A 19,095-nucleotide genomic window follows, 5' to 3' on the forward strand; every position below is an offset into this window, starting at 1 on the left:
GTATTGGCCAATATTTAGATTTTCTTCAACTTTTTAATATTATATAGAATACTGAAATAAATCTCTTTGGGCATATGTGTAATGAGAGTGTCTGTTTATGTACATATGTGCATTTTGGCTGCTCAGTATCTTAATCACCTTTATATGATTGAGAAACCTTTTATTTTGTGCCTGTTGTTGCAATGCGGAGCTTGCCACCTACTATAGAAGCTGAAGATAACGGTAATCATTATCTCAGTCTCTGTTGCAGCTAGGGTATGCCCGATGACCTAAGCTCTATCAATTAGGTTAACCCACTCCCCAGAATTTTAATTATGATATAATGATACATTTAAGCACTATAAAATTCTCACTGGTAGCAATAGCAGTAGGGGCAAGATCAAGTTACTGAAACAATAGTGACACCCATGTAAGTTATAGCAACTTATCTTTAATGGTGGTGAGCGTGGTTTCCTCACTGAATCAGTTCCCGGCTCCAGATTTTGGACATTATCCTTGACTGTATAGAAACTAATAGTCTTTTGATGAATTTTTTTTGTTTGTTTACATTAGGCTTAAGCAAGGGAATTTTTTTTGCCTCGTTGTATTTTGTTTTAACTTTCATTTGCATATGTGATTGCTCAGGTGGGTACACATTTTCCACGTGTATTAAAAAGTAATATTTCCTCTTTTATGACACTTTGGTTTCAATATTTTGCCCAATATCCCACTGGATTATTTATTTTTTTCTTATTTATTTGTTGGAATTATACATGTATTCTAGATGCCAAACATTTACAAATGTTATAAACACTTATAAAATTTGACCACACCTTCTTTAAATTTGTGGTTTGTCTCTTGATACATAGTTACCATGTTCAGAAATATGGAAGAAACTCTGGAGATTTTGTATAGTGATTAAAATAACTTGGACTGTGGAGTTATTCATTCAAAAATATTTATTGAGTTTGTGTCAATCTATATCCATAATGAGTAGAAACCACACAGTTGATTTAGACAGGAGAAATGTAATACAAAAGACTGGTACACTTTGATAAAACAGTAACTCTAAAATACAAGAAAACTCTATATGGTACCCTGGAGCTGAGGGAGAGTATTCAATGAAGAAAAAATTTAGAAGGGGTGTTTTCTCCACAAGACTAGAGTAGTTGAAAAAGGTGCAGTGGCAACCCACTCAACAGCACCGCGTTTCACTGCTTTGCTCAGGTCAGAGCTATTCGGCAACTGCTGGACAATAACAATGGCAGAAAGCAATTCTCCGCGGCATAGGTTCCACACAGTTGAATCTCTTTCAGTGGATCTAGGTAAAAGGATATAGAAGGAGTGAGCCAATGACAAAGTCTTTTTTTTTTTTTGAGACGTGGTCTCACTCTGTCGCCCAGGATGGAGTGCAGTGGCGTGATCTGGGCTCACTGCAAGCTCCGCCTCCCGGGTTCACGCCGTTCTCCTGCCTCAGCCTCCAGAGTGGCTGGGACCACAGGCGCCCGCGACCACGCCCGGCTAAATTTTGTATTTTTAGTAGAGACGGGGTTTCACCGTGTTAGCCAGGATGGTCTCGATCTCCTGACCTCGTGATCCGTCCTCCTTGGCCTCCCAAAGTGCTGGGATTACAAGCGTGAGCCACCGCGCCCGGCTGCCAATGACAAGTTCTTTTTTTTTTTTTTTTTTTTTTTTTAATGACAAATTCTTAACTGCAAGCAGGCCACAGGCCAAAGTTAGCAAAGGCCCAGGTACACAGGTGGGCAGAGGGAATCAAAAACCCTGTGGAGGTATGAAGCCTGGAAATTGTGGTGTCCATGCTGAGAAGGATGCAGGAAGCCAGCCCCAGCTGTAAGATTCCTGAGGGACCTCAGATTCTGAAGTATAGCACCTCTAGATGTTCTCACACTCACACCACCCACTCACTGTAAGGAGCCAGGCACCATAGGAGAGCCCTTTCCTCTACAACATCTCTCCGGTGCCCTCTACTGAGAAGGCTTGAATACTGTGCTCACTATGAGGAAGTAAATACAAGAGGAATTCCACACATTATGGCAGAGTGATTGCAGGGTAAATTTGGAGCTGAGAGGCAATACATTATTTATTGACAAATGTGTGGCGTGCTGGCCAGTATAGTAGATGCTAAAATGTCATAGTAAAAATAAGAAATAAAATTGTCTTCCCTATAGAAATTATGCTTTTGTAGAAGATATATGATATTATCCAAAGAAATGATTAATAAAACAGTGAAGTTCTATGAAACAAAAATATAGTGCTGTAAAGTGTAATGACATTTATTGAGGTTCAAAGAAAGTCTCCTGAACGACAATCATATGTTTGGGGAATTAATACTTAAGATGTATACTGAATATGTGAATATGAAGTATATTAATATTCCTATAAAGCTTGCATAGTAAACTGTGATAAGTGTTTAGAGTTGGCAGTTATTGGCATGGCAGCTGATAACCGAAATTTAATAATAAATGAGATTGATGAAAGAGTAGAGAAAGATAAAAAGTCACATGAAGGAATCTTTTGATAAACACACCTGAAGAGTTTTAAACTGCTTGCAGGTCAATTAAGATGCAAATTAATATGTATTCAAAAGACAATATGTAAGTCATTCACGATCTCCATTAATATGGCTTGTGGGTGGCAGAATTCAGATTACAGAGAGTTAAACAAGTAATAATCTCATAGAACCAAAAGTGGAGATCATAACATAAATAACACATTGATTTTAATTTCCAACTCAAATTAAAAATTAGATTTCGTATAAAAATTTGGATTATGGGTCCTTTTGAAAAATTGGAAACCTTATCAATCTTTCCCTAAACTGGCTTGAAAAAATATTCAACCGGGTTGCTGCCCCTCCTTGAGATTATAGGGTCCATACATTCTCTCTCTTTTTTTTTTTATTATACTTTAAGTTCTAGGGTATGTGCGCACAACGTGCAGGTTTGTTACATATGTATACATGTGCCATGTTGGTGTGCTGCACCCATTAACTCATCATTTACATTAGGTATATCTCCTAATGCTATCCTTCTCCCCTCCCCCCACCCCACGACAGGCCCCAGTGTGTGTTCCCATTCCGGTGTCCAAGTGTTCTCATTGTTCATTTCCCACCTATGAGTGAGAACATGCAGTGTTTGGTTTTTTGTCCCTGTGATAGTTTGCTGAGAATGATGATTTCCAGCTTCATCCATGTCCCTGCAAAGGACATGAACCCATCCTTTTTTATGGCTGCATAGTATTCCACTGGTGTATTAGGGTCCATACATTCTGTATTTCATCACTGTCAGTATTGAACTGCATCACTTTTAATATTTCTACCTGGCCTTTCTAGCACTTGCACTCATGGAATCTGCAACATGGAGTTCTTTAAAGAAGATAATGTGGAAGAGAAAAATGTGGTGTCTGATAGTAAAAGAGGGTTATGTTTTTTTTTTCTTCCCTTTTTTTTCTTCTCTTCCTTCTTTAAAAAAGTCAATAACTGATTGCCAAAACCAAGGTGTATACTGGTTGATATAAATAAGCCCATACATAGAGAGAAATTATAGATAGAACTGAGAAAGTTGAACTCTATTTATGCCTATTTAATTACTGGAATAACACTTACCAAGCTACTTAAACTCTGGTGCTTAATGTCTTCACTTATACAGTGAGAATTAATACCCACTTCCTGAAGTTATCCTGCAGAATAAATGAAATCATGTTTCCAAAGCTTATAAATAGTTCATGACCAAGTAACTATTTAAAAACACATAAAGGAGACACATTATTAATATAGTAATCAACATACCACAGTGGCTGAAAAAGAATTAAACTCAAAGCACTAAGTTAGTCATTACACAATCCCAGGCTGTTTCATTAGGCAGTTGATGGTAACACATGGGGAAAGCAAAGGGACATCAAGACAATAAATCAAATACATTCACGTGCTGCTAAACAACAGGGATATGTTCTGAAAATTTGAGAAATGTATCATAAGGCAATGATGTTTGCCATGCAGATTTCACAGTGTACTTACATAAACCTGTATGATATAGCTTAGAACACACCTAGATTATAAGGTATAGCCTATTGCTTCTAGAATACAAACCTGCACAGCATGTTACCATATTGGATAATATAGGCAATTGTAACACAATAATAAATATTTGTGTATCTCAACTTATTGAAATCTAGAAAAGATACAGTAAAAACACAGTATAAAATAATAATAATAATAATAATAATAATAATAATAAAACAGTACCTATATAGACCACTTAGCACGAATGGCACTTACAGGGCTGAAAATTGTTCTGGGTGGATCAGTGAGTGATTAGTGAGTGAATGTGAAGGCCTGGGATATTACTGTACACTACAGTAGATGTCTTAAACATTAGGCATTAGGGTAAATGTATAAAATACATTTTATTTCTTCAATAATACATTAAACTTAGCTTACTGATAATTTTTTGCTTTATAAACTATATTTTATTTTAGCTTTTTGACTCTTTTGTACTAAAACATTTTTTTTTGGAATAAAGAACCATTTTTATTACAAATGATTGACTTCCCCAATTGTAGATGTTATGATCATTAACACAGTCATAACAGAGAGTCAGAGATTAAGGGAGCAAAAGATAACATTTGGAAAACAGTCAGATGACACCGTGGATCCTATGGCCATGATTTCATTCAAAGAAATGTGAGGCTAGAGGTCCAAGACTCTGTCAAGCATGTAATTCTTGGATATAGAAATCTTGGAGTATGAATCCTTGAATCAGTATTATCTTTAGCCGTGTCATTTTAGAAGCAAATTGTCCTCTGACAGTGATGTTTTAGCAGGAAGAATAGCATCTTCTAAAGCAAAATGGCCGGTAGCCACAGTAGCCAGAGCCAGAGCCACATCCACAGCCATAGCCAGTTCCATAACCACAGCCATACCCACAGCCGTAGCCAGTTCCATAGCCACAGCCAGAGCCAGAGCCATAGCCACAGCTGTAGCCAGAGCCATAGCCACAGCCATAGCTGGAGCCATAGCCACAGCCATAACCAGAGCCATAGCCACAGCCATAGCTGGAGCCATAGCCACAGCCATAACCAGAGCCATAGCCACAGCCATAGCTGGAGCCATAGCCACAGGAGTTGCCGTAGTAGTTGCAACACATGTTGTCAAGAGGAGAGAATTGAGATGGGTTTCAAGAAGATGCTTCTGAGGTGTGGACGTCTTCTACTTCCCTGAGACCTTTATATAATTGCCAAAGCATATCATTCATTCCCTGACTTAGCCAACAAATATTTAAACAATCATTATGTGCCAGTCACTGTTGATCATCAATAATATTTTGCTTAAAATGAGCCAATTATTTTGGAGACTCGAGTTTCATTTCAGGAACATCATTTTAATCTGCTCTGCCAAAGAACCATCTCAGTGAAATCATGTGCCCAAATATAAAGCTGATACTAATTTTCAAAATGTCCTATCAGTAGATATATATCTTACATAACAAGTTTTGGGGGGATCATAACAAAGTTTTATCCTTTTTCTCTCTCTCTCTTTTTTTCCTAAAATATCTACCTCTACCCATAGGGAAAGAGACAACCCTATTCCCTTTCCTGAGTCATTACAACTTCTTTGCCAGACTTCTTTCTCCAACTCACTCTGCACTTCCACACCTACCCCTTGTCCAACCTCCCTCAAATCCCAAGAAACATATTCACATCTGATCATTCAAAGCCAGACTGTATGCTATCTGCAAGTGTTTCTTATATTTTCCTTCCATCCTCCAGGCAAACCAAGACCCTGGGGAGGCAGAGAAGCCCTCCTTTTGTCTCCCATTTCTTCAGCTATATAAGTAATTGTCATTGAGGAGCCTTTTAAAACCTAACCAGCTTCATTTTAAATATATATATATATATATATTTTTTTTTGTTATACTTTAAGTTCTAGGGTACATGAGCACAACGTGCAAGTTTGTTGCATATGTATACATGTCCCATGTTATACCAACACCGCTGTACCCATTAACTCGTCATTTACATTAGGTATATATCCTAATCCTATCCCTCTCCCCTCTCCCCACTCCATGACAGGCCCCAGTATGTGATGTTCCCCTTCCTGTGTCCAAGTGTTCTCATTGTTCAATTCTCACCTATGAGGGAGAACATGAGGCGTTTGCTTTTTTTGTCCCTGTGATAGCTTGCTGAGAATGACGGTTTCCAGCTTCATCCATGTCCTTACAAAGGACATGAACTCATCCTTTTTATGGCTGCATAGTATTCCACAGTGTATATGTGCCACATTTTCTTAATCCAGTCTATCATTGAAGGACATTTGGGTTGGTTCCAAGTCTTTGCTATTGTGAATAGTGCAGGGGGGTGAGGCACCACCCGCAATGTAGGGAGTAAGAGCCAGCCCCTCTCCCCCTCCGGCTCTTAGGACCCCCATCGCAGGGGGGCGGGTGCCCCCCGCGATGTGGATGGTCATATCCAGGGGGCGATAGTGGGGTGATATTACTCCCGGATTTTTCCTAGGATCCTTTCTATACTGCCACCCTCGGTTCACACCCTGGGACACTATCTTCCATATTCTAGCAAGATGCAGCTTCTAAAGTCGCAGGGGGTATACACCCTTCAGTATTATTCGTAATTTTGCAGGGGAATGTTAAACCTGATGTCACAGGACTCTGTACACTGTGATGTTATTCCCAATATCCTAGCTTTACCTTAATAATAATGTCACATTGTGTGTACACCTTGTGGTGTTATTCTTATTCTCCTAATGGGAGGTTGCATTTATTGTCACACGGGGTATGTTCCTTTTGATATTATCCATAATGTCCTAGAGGGATGTCACCCCTTATGTCACAGAGTTTGTACACCTTGTGAAATTACTCGTATTATCCTCATAAGATGTCACTCCTCATATCACAGAGGGTGTACACTCCGTGATATTGTCGTCATATTCTAGGGAAATGTTACTTTTAATGTCACAGAGAGTGCACAGCTTGTGAAATTATTCGTTATAATTTTGTGGGATGTTACCCCTAATGTCACATGGCGTGTACACACAGTGATGTTACGTGCAATATGCTATGGAAATGTTACTCGTAATTCACAGGTCCTGTACACCCTTTAATATTCTTCGTAATCTTCTAGGAAAACGTTACTGCTAATGTCACAGGGCCTGTAGACCCTGTCATAAAATTCCTAATATCCTAGCGGGAGTTCACTACTAATTTCACAATGTGTGTACACCCTTTGATATTATTAGTATTGTCTTGAAGAGATGTTACTACTGATGTCCCAATGCAGGTACATTCTCTCATCTTATTGGTTATATCCTCGGGGGATGTTACTTCTAATGTCACACGGGGTGTCCTCCCTGTGTTCTATTTCGTAATATCCCACGGCAATTTCACTTTTAATGACACAGGGGGTGTACACATTTTGCTATTATTCGTGATATTCTAGAAAGATGTTACTCCTAATGTCACAGGGCTGTACACCCTGTGATAGTATTCATAATTTCCCAGGGGTCTATACTCCTATTGGAACAGACGATAACACCCTGTGACATTGTTCATAATATTCTAGGGAGATGATACTCCTCATGTCACAGGGGGTGTACACCCCGTGTTATTATTCTTACTATTCTAGGGGGATGTTACTCCTAATGTCACAGGGATGTACACCCTGTGATATTATTCATAGTGTGCCAGAGGGATATTAGCACTAATGTCACGATGCGTGTACACCTTGTGATATTATTTGTCATATCCTAATGTCACAGGGGGTGTGTTCCGTGTGATAGTCTTCCTAACATCCTAGACGGATATTGCTCCTAACGTCACAGGGTGTGTACACCTTGTCACATCATTCATAATATCCTAAAACTACGTTATTCCTCAGGTCACAGGGGGTGTTCACCCTGTGATATTTTTCATCATAGTTTTGTGGGATGTTACTCCTAAAGTCACACGGGGTGTACACAGAGTCACACAGTGATATGAGTTGTAATATTCTATAGACATGTTACTTGTAAATCACAGGGGCTGTACCTCCTGTGATATTATTCGTAATATTCTAGGGGAATGTTGTTATTATTGTCACCGGGGTGTACACCCTGTGATATGACTCGTCATATCCCAGTGGGATGTTACTACTAATGTCACAATGCCTGTACACCCTGTGATACTATTTGTAATATCCTAAAGAGATGTTACTACTAAGGTCACAATGCATGGACACCCTCTGATATTATTCGTTATATCCTCGGGGGGTGTTATTCCTAATGTCACACGGGGTGTACTCCCGGTCCTATTATTCATAATATCCAAGGGGGATGTTATTTTTAATGTCACCGGGGGTGACATTACACATTAAAAATGCGTATTCAACGCCTGTGATACTATTCCTAATATCCTAGGGGCATGCTCTTCCGAATGTCACATGGGGCGTACACCATGTGTGTACACCTGCTGTGATATTATTTATAATATCCTAGGGGAATGTTACTCCTGATGACACAGGCGGTGTACACCATGTGTGTACCCCTCCTGTGTTATTATTCACAATATCCTAGGGGGATGTTTCTTTTAATGTCACAAAGTGTGTACAAAACGTCACAGAGGTGTACACGCTGTGACATTATCTGTAATACCCTAGAAGGATGTTACTCCTAATGTGTACACACAGGGGTGTACACGCTTTGATGTTATTTGCAATCTCATAGAGAGATATTACTTCAAATATCACAGTGGATGTACACACATAGTATATACCCTGTGATAGTATTCGTAATATCCTAGGGAGATACAAATCCTGATATCACAGTGCGTGTACCCCGTGTGTGTACACCCTTGATATTAGTCGTAATATCCAGGGTAAATATTACTCCTCATATCACACAGTGTGCACACCCTGTGATATTTTTCCTCATACGTTAGGGAGATATTGCTTCTAATATGACAGTGGGTGTACCCCATCTGTGTGTACTCTGTGACAGTATATTCTATATCCTAGGGAGTATTACTCCTAATATCACTTTGGGTGTTCACCCTGTGATATCATTCTTATTTGACCTTGCTGCCTTTGTTAACCCACACTACAAAAGGAATGGAACAGTTAAGAAGACACGGAGATTGGACGGTGCTGCTGTGCGGCCGCCGCAGGACACTTTTAATATGCCTGTTTCTCAGGCTGTAGATGAAGGGGTTCAGCATGGGGTGATCACCGTGTACATCACTGAGGCCACTGCAGCCTTTCTCGGGGAAGATGACACATCTGAACTGAAGTACCCTCCAACGCCCGTTCCGTAAAATCAGCAAACAACTGACAGGTGAGACCCACAGGTGGAGAAGGCCTTATACTGCCCACGTGATGATGAAACACTCAGAATGGAGGAAACAATTTTATAGTAAGAGAAAAGGGTCCCAGAGATGGGAAGAAAACCAAATATGACAGCAGGGAAATACATGATTATGTTATTGGTGAAGGTGTCACAACATGCAAGATGGGGGAGTTGAGAAGGGTCACAGAAGAAATTAGGAATTTCCGCATCCTGGAAGCAGGTCATTTGTAAGGCAATCAAGTTGTGCAACTGGGCGTCTAAAACACTGAGAAAAAAAAAAAAGGCGGGAACTGAGAGCCAGCCCCTCTTCCTCCGCTGGCTCTTAGGACCCCCATCGCAGAGGGGGAGGCACCCCCACTGAGGCAGGGACTGAGAACCAGCCCCTCTTCCCCCCTGGCTCTTAGAACCCCCATCGCAGTGGTGGGAGACAGCCTCCACGAGCCGAGGAGTGACAGCCACCCCCTCTTCCCCCCCTGACACTTGGGACCGCCATCGCAGGGTGGGGAGGCACCCCCCCGAGAGGCAGGGACTCAGAGCTAGGCCCTCTTACCCCCTGGCTCTTAGGACCCCAATCGCAGGCGGGGAGGCACCCATCGAGAGGCGAGTACAGAGAGCCAGCCCCTCATCCCCCCCTGGCTCTTGGGACCCCCATCGCAGGGCGGGAGGCACCCCCCGCGAGGCGGCTACTGAGAGCGAGCCCGTCTTCCCCCCCTGGCTCTTAGGAGCCCCATCGCAGAGGCGGGAGGCACCCCCCGCGAGGAAGGGACTGAGAGCCAGCCCCTCTTCCCCCCTGGCTCTTAGGACCCCCATCGCAGTGGGGGGAGGCACTCCCCGTGAGGCGGGGACTGAGAGCCAGCCCCTCGTCCCACCCTGGCTTAGGACCCCCATCGCGGATCCTAAGAACCTTAGGACCCACTTGGAGGACTGTGGGTATTAGGTGTCCAAGAAGAAAGCTCAAATCTGCTGACGGCAGGTACCTTACTTGGGATTTACTCTCCGACAGGGGTCCGAACTCAGCCCGGGAACAGAAAGAAAGCAGGTTATTTGCAATCTACCGGAGCCTAAGGGCAGAAGGCAGGTGAGGGAATTCTTGGGAGCTGTGGGGTTTTGTAGACTGTGCATCCCAAACTTTGCAGTATTAGCCAAGCCCTTTTATGAGGTCACAAAGGGGGCGGGGACCGGGAACCTTTGGAAGGGGGATCCCAACAACAGCAAGTCTTTCATGAGTTAAAGGAAAAACTTCCGGCAGCCGCAGCCCTGGGATAACCGATCTGACAAAGCCTTTTCCATTGAATGCATCAGAGAGAAAATAGATGGCAGCTGGACATTTAACCCAAAGTGTGGAGCCCTGGCTGAGGCCGGTGGCCTACGTCTCTAAACAACTAGACAGGTTTTCTAAAGGATGGCCCCCCTGTTTGAGGGCAGTGGCAGCAACTACCCTGCTAGTAGAAGACGCAAATAAGCTGACTCTTGGGCAAAACCTGAACATAAAGGCCCCCCATTTTGCGGTGGGTGAGAGCCAGCCCTTCTTACCCCCTTGCCTCTCAGGACCCCCATCGCAGGGCGGGAGGCACCTCCCATGAGGCGGGGACTGAGAGGCAGCCCCTCTTCCCCCCTTGGCTCTTGGGAACCCCATCGCAGGGTGGGGAGGCAACCCCCGTGATGAAGGGAAAAAAAGAGCCAGCCCCTCTTCCCCCCCTGGCTCTTAGGACCACCATCGCAGGAAGGGGAGGCAACCCCCACGGGGGAGGGACTGACAGCCATCCCCTCTTCTCCCCTGGCTCTTAGGACCCCCATTGCAGGGGGGGGGAGGCACCCTCCGAGAGGCGGGGACTGAGAGCCAGCCCCTCTTCCAGCTCTGGCTTAGGACCCCCATCGCGGATCCTATGTACCTTAGGACCCTCCTGGAGGACTGTGGGTATAGGTGTCCAAGAAGAAAGCTCAAATCTGCCGAAGGCAGGTACCTTACTTGGGATTTACTGTCCAACAGGTGTCAGAACGCAGCCCGGGAACAGAAAGTAAGCAGGTCATTTGCAATCTACCAGAGCCTAGGGGCGGAAGGAAGGTGAGGAAATTCTTAGGGGCTGTGGGGTTTTGTAGACTGTGCATCCCAAACTTTGCAGTATTAGCCAAGCCTTTGTATGAGGTCACAAAAGGGGCGAGGACCAGGAACCTATGGAATCGGGATCCCAACAACAGCAAGTCTTTCATGAGTTAAAGGAAAAACTTCTGGCAGCCCCAGCCCTGGGTCTACCCGATCTGACAATGTCTTTTCCATTGAATGCGTCAGATAGAGAAAAGATGGCAGCTGGACTTTTAATCCAAACTCTGGGGCCCTGGCTGAGGCCGGTGGCCTACGTCTCTAAACAACTAAAAAGGGTTTCTAAAGGATGGCCCCCCTGTTTGAGGGCCGTGGCAGCAACTGCCCTGATAGTAGAAGAAGCAAATAAGCTGACTCTTGGGCAAAACCTGAACATAAAGGCTGCCCATTTTGGGGTGGGTGAGAGCCAGCCCCTCATCCCTCCCTGCCTTAGGACCCCCATCGCGCATCCTAAGATCCTTAGGACCCACCTGGAGGACTGTGGGTATTAGGTGTCCAAGAAGAAAGCTCAAATCTGCCGACGGCGGGTACCTTAATTGGGATTGACTATCCGACAGGGGTCCCACGCCGCCCGGGAACAGAAAGAAAGCAGGTTATTTGCAATCTACCAGAGCCTAAGGGTCGAAAGCAGGCGAGAGAATTCTCAGGAGCTGTGGGGTTTTGTAGACTGTGGATCCCAAACTTTGCAGTATAAGCCAAGCCTTTGTATGAGGTCACAAAGGGGGCGGGGACCGGGAACCTTTGGAATGGGGATCCCAACAACAGCAAGTCTTTCATGAGTTAAAGGAAAAACTTCTGGCAGCTTCAGCCCTGGGGCTACCCAATCTGACAAAGCCTTTTAGATTGTACACGTCAGAGAGAGACAAGATGGCGGGTGGACTTTTAACCCAAACTGTGGGGCCCTGGAAGAGGCCGGTGGCCTACGTCTCTAAACAACTAGACAGGGTTTCTAAAGGATGGCACCCTGTTTGGGGGCCTTGGCAGCAACTGCCCTGCTAGTACAAGAAGAAAATAAGCTGACTCTTGGGCAAAACCTGAACATAAAGGCCCCCCGTTTTGTGGTGGCTGAGAGCCAGCCCCTCTTCCCCCACTGGCTCTTGGGACCCCCATCGCGTTGGGGGGGAGGCACCCTCCGCGAGGCGGGGACTGAGAGCCAGCCCCTCTTCCCCCCCTGGCTCTTGGGACCCCCATCCCAGGGGGGGAGGCACCCCCACGAGGCGGGGACTGAGAGCCAGCCCCTCATCCCCCCTTGGTTCTTGGGAACCCCATCGCAGGGGGGGATGCAACCCCCGCGACGAGAGGACAGAGAGCCAGCCCCTCTTCACCCCTGGCTCTTAGGACCCACATCGCACCTGAGGGAGGCACCCCCGCGAGGCGGGGACTGACAGCCCCCTCTTCCCCCCCAGACTCTTGGGATCACCATCGCAGGGGCGGGAGGCACACCCCGCGAGGCGGGGACTGACAGCCAGCCCCTCTTCCCCCCCTGGCTCTTAGGACACCCACCGCAGAGGGGGGGAGGCACCCCCCGCCAGGCAGGAACTGAGAGCCAGCACCTCTTCCCCCGCTGGCTCTTAGGACCCCCATCGCAGAGCGGGAGGCACCGCCCATGAGGCAGGGACTGAGAACCAGCCCCTCTTCCCCCCTGGCTCTTAGGACCCCCATCGCAGTAGGGGGAGGCAGCCCCCGCGAGCCGAGGATTGAGAGCCAGCCCGTATTCCCCCCCTGACACTTGGGACCCCCATCGCAGGGTGGGAAGGCACCCCCCGCGAGGCGGGTACTGACAGCCAGGCCCTCTTCCCCCCCGAATCTTGGGACCCCCATCGCAGTGGGGGAGGCACCCCCGCGAAGCGGGGACTGAGAGCCAGCCCCTTTCCCCCCTTGGCTCTTGGGACGGCCATCTCAAGAGGGGGGATGCAAACCCTGCAACGAGGGGACAGAGAGACAGCCCTTCTTCACCCCCTGGCTCTTAGGACCCCCATCGCACCTGGGGAGGGCACCCCCGCGAGGCGGGGACTGAGAGCCAGCCCGTCTTCCACCCCTGGCTCTTCGGAAACCCATGGCAGCGGGGCGAGGCAGCCCCCACGAGGCGGGGACTGAGTTCCAGCCCCTCTTCACCACCTGGCTCTTAGGACCACCATCTCAGAGGCGGGAGGCACCACCCGCGAGGTGGGGACTGAGAGCCAGCCACTCTTCCCCCGCTGGCTTAGGACACCCATCGTGGATCCTAAGAACCTTAGGACCCACCTGGAGGACTGTGGGTATTAGGTGTCCAGGCAGAAAGCTCAAATCTGCCGACGGCAGGTACCTTACTTGGGATTTACTATCGGACGGGGTCCGACGCCTCCCTGGAACAGAAAGAAAGCAGGTTATTTGCAATCTACCAGAGCCTAAGGGCCGAAGGCAGGCGAGAGAATTCTCAGGAGCTGTGGGGTTTTGTAGACTGTGGATCCCAAACTTTGCAGTATAAGCCAAGAGTTTGTATGATGTCACAAAGGGGGCGAGGACTGAGAACCTTTGGAAGGGGGATCCCAACAACAGCAAGTCTTTCATGAGTTAAAGGAAAAACTTCTGGCAGCTTCAGCCCTGGGGCTACCCGATCTGACAAAACCTTTTCCATTGTATGCGTCAGAGAGACAAGATGGCAGGTGGACTTTTAACCCAAACTATTGGGCCCTGGATGAGGCCGGTGGCCTACTTCTCTAAACAACTAGACAGGGTTTCTAAAGGATGGCCCCCTGATTGAGGGCCTTGGCAGCAACTGCCCTGCTAGTACAAGAAGCAAATAAGCTGACTCTTGGGCAAAACCTGAACATAAAGTCCCCCCATTTTGTAGTGGCTGAGAGCCAGCCCCTCTTCCCCCCCTGGCTCTTGGGACCCCATCACGTGGGGGGGGAGGCACCCTCCGCGAGGCGGGGACTGAGAGCCAGCCCCTCTTCCCCCCTGGCTCTTAGGACTCCCATCACAGTGGGGGGAGGCAGCCCCCGCGAGCCGAGGACTGAGAGCCAGCACCTATACCCCCCTGACACTTGGGACCCCCATCGCAGGGTGAGGAGGCACCCCCCGCGAGGCGGGGACTGAGAGCTAGCCCCTCTTCACCCCTGGCTCTTAGGACCCACATCGCACCTGTGGGAGGCACCCCCACGAGGCGGGGACTGAGAGACAGCCCCTCTTCCCCCCCAGACTCTTAGGATCCCCATCCCGGAGAGGGAGGCACACCCCGCGAGGCAGGGACTGAGAGCCAGCACCTGGTCCCCCCCCTGGCTTAGGACCCCCATCGTGGATCCTATGAACTTTAGGACACACCTGGAGGACTGTGGGTATAGGTGTTCAAGAAGAAAGCTCAAATCTGCCGATGGCAGGTACCTTACTTGGGATTTACTATCCGACAGGGGTCCGAACGCACCCGGGAACAGAAAGAAAGCAGGACATTTGCAATCTACCGCAGCCTAAGGGCAGAAAGCATGTGAGGGAATTCTTAGGGGCTGTGGGATTTTGTAGACTGTGCATCCCAAACTTTGCAGTATTAGCCAAGACTTTGTATGAGATCGCAAAGTGGGCGGGGACCGGGAACCTATGGAATCGGGATCCCAACAACAGCAAGTCTTTCTTGAGTTAAAGGAAAAACTTCTGGCAGCCCCAGCCCTGGGGCTACCTGATCTGACAAAGCCTTTTCCATTGAATGCATCAGATAGAGAAAACATGGCAGCCGGACTTTTAACTCAAACTGTGGGGCCCTGGATGAGGCCAGTGGCCTACGTCTCTAAACACCTAGACAGGGTATCTAAAGGATGGCCCCCCTGTTTGAGGGCCATGGCAGCAACTGCCCTGATAGTAGAAGAAGCAAATAAGCTGACTCTTGGGCAAAACCTGAACATAAAGGCCACCCATTTTGGGGTGGGTGAGAGCCAGCCCCTCTTCCCCCCCTGCCTTAGGACCCCCATTGCAGATACTAAGATCTTTAGGACACACCTGGAGGACTGTGGGTATTAGGTGTCCAAGAAGAAAGCTCAAATCTGCCTAGGGCAGGTAACTTACTTGGGATTTCCGATCCGACAGGGGTCCGAAGCCACCCGGGAACAGAAAGAAAGCATGTTATTTGCAATCTACCAGAGCCTAAGGGCCAAAGGCAGGCGAGAGAATTCTCAGGAGCTGTGGGGTTTTGTAGACTGTGGATCCCAAACTTTGCAATATAAGCCAAGCCTTTGTATGAGGTCACAAAGGGGGCGGGGACCGGGAACCTTTGGAATGGGGATCCTAACAACAGCAAGTCTTTCATGAGTTAAAGGAAAAACTTCTGGCAGCTTCAGCCCTGGGGTTACCCGATCTGACAAAACCTTTTCCATTGTATGCGTCAGAGAGAGAAAAGATGGCAGGTGGACTTTTAACCCAAACTGTGGGGCCTTGGATGAGGCCGGTGGCCTATGTCTCTGAACAACTAGACAGGGTTTCTAAAGGATGGCCCCCCTGTTTGAGGGCCTTGGCAGCAACTCCCCTGCTAGTACAAGAAGCAAATGAGCTGACTCTTGGGCAAAACCTGAACATAAAGGCCCCCCATTTTGTGGTGGCTGAGAGCCAGCCTCTCTTCGCCCCCTGATTCTTGGGACTCCCATCGCGGGGGGGGGAGGCACCCTCTGTGAGGCGGGGACTGAGAGCCAGCCCTTTTTACCCCCCTGGCTCTTTGGATCCCCATCCCAGGGCGGGAGGCACCCCCGCGAGGCAGGGACTGAGAGCCAGCCCCTCTTCCCCCCTTGGCTCTTGGGACCTCCATCGCAGGGGGGGAAGCAACCCCCGCGACGAGGGGACAGAGAGCCAGCCCCTCTTCACCCCTGGCTCTTAGGACCAACATCGCACCTGGGGGAGGCAACCCCGCGAGGCGGGGACTGAGTTGCAGCCCCTCTTCCCCGCCTGGCTCTTAGGATCACCATCGCAGAGGCGAGAGGAACCCCCCGCGAGGCAGGGAGTAAGAGCCAGCCCCTCATCCCCCCTGGCTCATAGGACCTCCATCACAGTGGGGGGAGGCAGCCGCCGCGCGCCGAGGACTGAGATCCAGCCTCTCTTCCCCCCCGACACTCGGGACCCCCATCGCAGGGTGGGGAGGCACAGCCCGAGAGGCGGGGACTGAGAGCCAGCCCCTCTTTCCCCCCTGGCTCTTAGGAACCCCATCGCAGGGAGGCGAGACGCCCCCCGCGTTTCGGGGAGTAAGTGCCAACCCCTCTTCCCCCCCTGACTCTTAGGACCTCCATCGCAGGGGGGCGAGGCGTAGGCGCGCTGGTTAGGAGGGGCTGGCTCCTAAGACCAGTTAGAATGGCAATCATTAAAAAGTCAGTAAACAGCGGATGCTGGAGAGGATGTGGAGAAATAGGAATGCTTTCACATTGTTGGTGGGAGTGTAAATTAGTTCAACCATTGTGGAAGACAGTGTGGCGAATCCTCAAGGATCTAGAACAAGAAATACCATTTGATCCAGTAATCCCATTACTTCGTATATATCCAAAGGATTACGAATTATTCTACTATAAAGACACATGCACATGTATGCTTATTGCAGGACTGTTCACAATAGCAAAGCATTTGAGCCAACCCAAATGCCCATCAATGATACACTGGATAAAGAAAATGTGGTGCATATACATCATGGAATACTATGCAGCCATAAAAAGGGTGGGTTCATGTCCTTTGCAAGGACATGGATGAAGCTGGAAACCATCATTTTCAGCAAGCTAACACAGGAACAGAAAACCAAACACAATGTTTTCTCACTCATAAGTGGACATTGAACAGTGAGAACACATGAACACAGGGAGGGAAACATCACACACTGGGGCCTTTTGGGGGATGGGAGTCAAGGGGAGGGATAGCATTAGGACAAATACCTAATGCATGTGGGGCTTACAACCTAGATGCCGGGTTAATGGGTACAGCAAACCACCATGGCACATGTATACCTATGTTACAAACCTGCATGATCTGCACATGTATCCCAGAACTTAAGGTAAAATTGAAAACAAAAACAAAAATAAAAATATCATTCTATTGTATTACCAGAAAAAGTATCTTTATTTATTTAGGTAATCATTAATTTTTAATAGTGTTTTATAATTTTAGCTGTGTGAAACTTTCACATATTTTATCAGATTTATCTGGAGGTATTTTGTATTTTTTGCTATTATAAGTACCATTTGAAAAAATTCAATTTCATATTGTTCATTGCTCTTGTATAAAATGATTTTAATATTATATATTATATTCGATTTCTGAAACCTTGATTAAAAAAAGATTTTTTTTTTCAGGTTGACTTTAGACATCCTGATAACTACATGCCTTGGCAATGTCTTTTTGCATTAAATCTCCCAAAAGTTCTTGGAGCTTTTTGTATCTGAATATCTAAATCTCTAGCAAGGCCACAGAAGTTTTTTCAATTATTCCCCCAAATAAATTTTTCCAACTTTTTGCCTTCTTTTTTCCCTCAGGAATATGAGTTATTCTTAGATGTGGCCATTTTACTAATCCCCTATTTCTTGGAGACTGTGCATTTCTTTATATTCTTTTTTCTTTATTTTCTTCTGATGGGTTAATTCCAAAGCCTTGTCTTTGAGCTCTGAAATTCTTTATTTAACTTGATCTAGTCTATTGTTGGAATTTTTTACTGCATTCTGTAATTCCCTAAATGTGTCTTTCATTTCCATAAGTTCTGATATTGTTAAAATATCTAACTCTTTAGGAAGTTTTCATTCATATTCTGAATTATTATTTTTAATTTCTTCATGTTGGTGTACACCTTTCTCTTTTATCTCATAGAGTAGTTTAATAATCAACCTTTTGCATTCTTTATCTGGTATGTCAAAGATTTCACAATGATATAGATTCATAGCTTGAGAGGTAATGTGATCTTTTGGAGGTGTTACATACATACTGTCATATTGCCAGAATTATTTTTCTGGCTCCTTCTCATTTGGGTAGACTATTTCTTCAAATTATTTTTGAATTGACTGTGTTTTTTTTTTTAATTTCTTTTTTCCCCTTAAGGATGTGACTTCCATGTTTATAGTTAATTGTGGTGTAATTCAGCTATTGATGTTTTCAGGGGTGAAGACTGTATCAGCTCCTTGGTTATAGAGGGTCTGTGTATGTGGATTCCTCAGATGATGGTGTATGAGCAAGTTTACTGTCTCCTATGAAGCTAGAATGGCAGAGGTCTGTTGAAGCCTATCTCATTCCCTTGTGGTTTTCACTTTATTTATTTTTCCACAGTATTTTATTTATTAGGTTGAATAGTTCAAGCTGCAGTCCAGTAGGGAAGGTGTCCCTGGGTAGAAACAAGTTGTCACTAAAGCAGGTGGGTAAATGCAATATGCAATGATAGACAGAGGTCACAGCCTTGAGGGTGACTGAGGGATCTCCCAATGTAACACGTTGAGGTCTTATCAGAGGGAAAAGTGGGAGCCACCTCAACTCTCCTGCCAGGCCAGCAGGAAAGTGATCCATCTTATAGTTGTATTAATCCATCCTTACACTGCTATAAAGAACTACCTGAGACTGGGTAATTCATGAAGAAAAAAGGTTTAATTGACTCACAGTTCCACAGGCTTAACAGGAAGCATGACTGTGAGGCCTCAGGAAACTTAAAATCATGGCAGAAGGTGGAAGAGATGCAAGGACCTTCTTCACA

General features: G+C 46.4%; 1 protein-coding gene, 1 long non-coding RNA gene and 1 pseudogene across 2 annotated transcripts; all 3 read right to left on the reverse strand.

Moving 5' to 3' along the window:
• Positions 1–987: 987 nt before the first annotated feature.
• On the reverse strand, positions 988–16,273 carry LOC102723968 (uncharacterized). Its single transcript, NR_130763.1, has 6 exons — positions 15,462–16,273; positions 13,671–13,771; positions 11,897–11,972; positions 11,218–11,373; positions 3,602–3,675; positions 988–1,300 (listed from the first exon to the last, which is right to left on the reverse strand). It is a non-coding gene; the product is annotated as an uncharacterized LOC102723968 (long non-coding RNA).
• On the reverse strand, positions 4,509–5,201 carry LOC647264 (keratin-associated protein 21-1). The gene has a single exon (NM_001370368.2). It carries the CDS (start codon positions 5,139–5,141, stop codon positions 4,812–4,814), a length of 330 nt encoding a protein of 109 aa, NP_001357297.1. The 5' UTR covers positions 5,142–5,201; the 3' UTR covers positions 4,509–4,811.
• Positions 9,076–9,821, reverse strand: OR7E104P (olfactory receptor family 7 subfamily E member 104 pseudogene; annotated as a pseudogene).
• Positions 16,274–19,095: the final 2,822 nt, after the last annotated feature.

The sequence above is a fragment of the Homo sapiens genome, chromosome 13 (assembly GCF_000001405.40).
Source record: "Homo sapiens chromosome 13, GRCh38.p14 Primary Assembly".
Taxonomy (NCBI): Eukaryota; Metazoa; Chordata; class Mammalia; order Primates; family Hominidae; genus Homo; species Homo sapiens.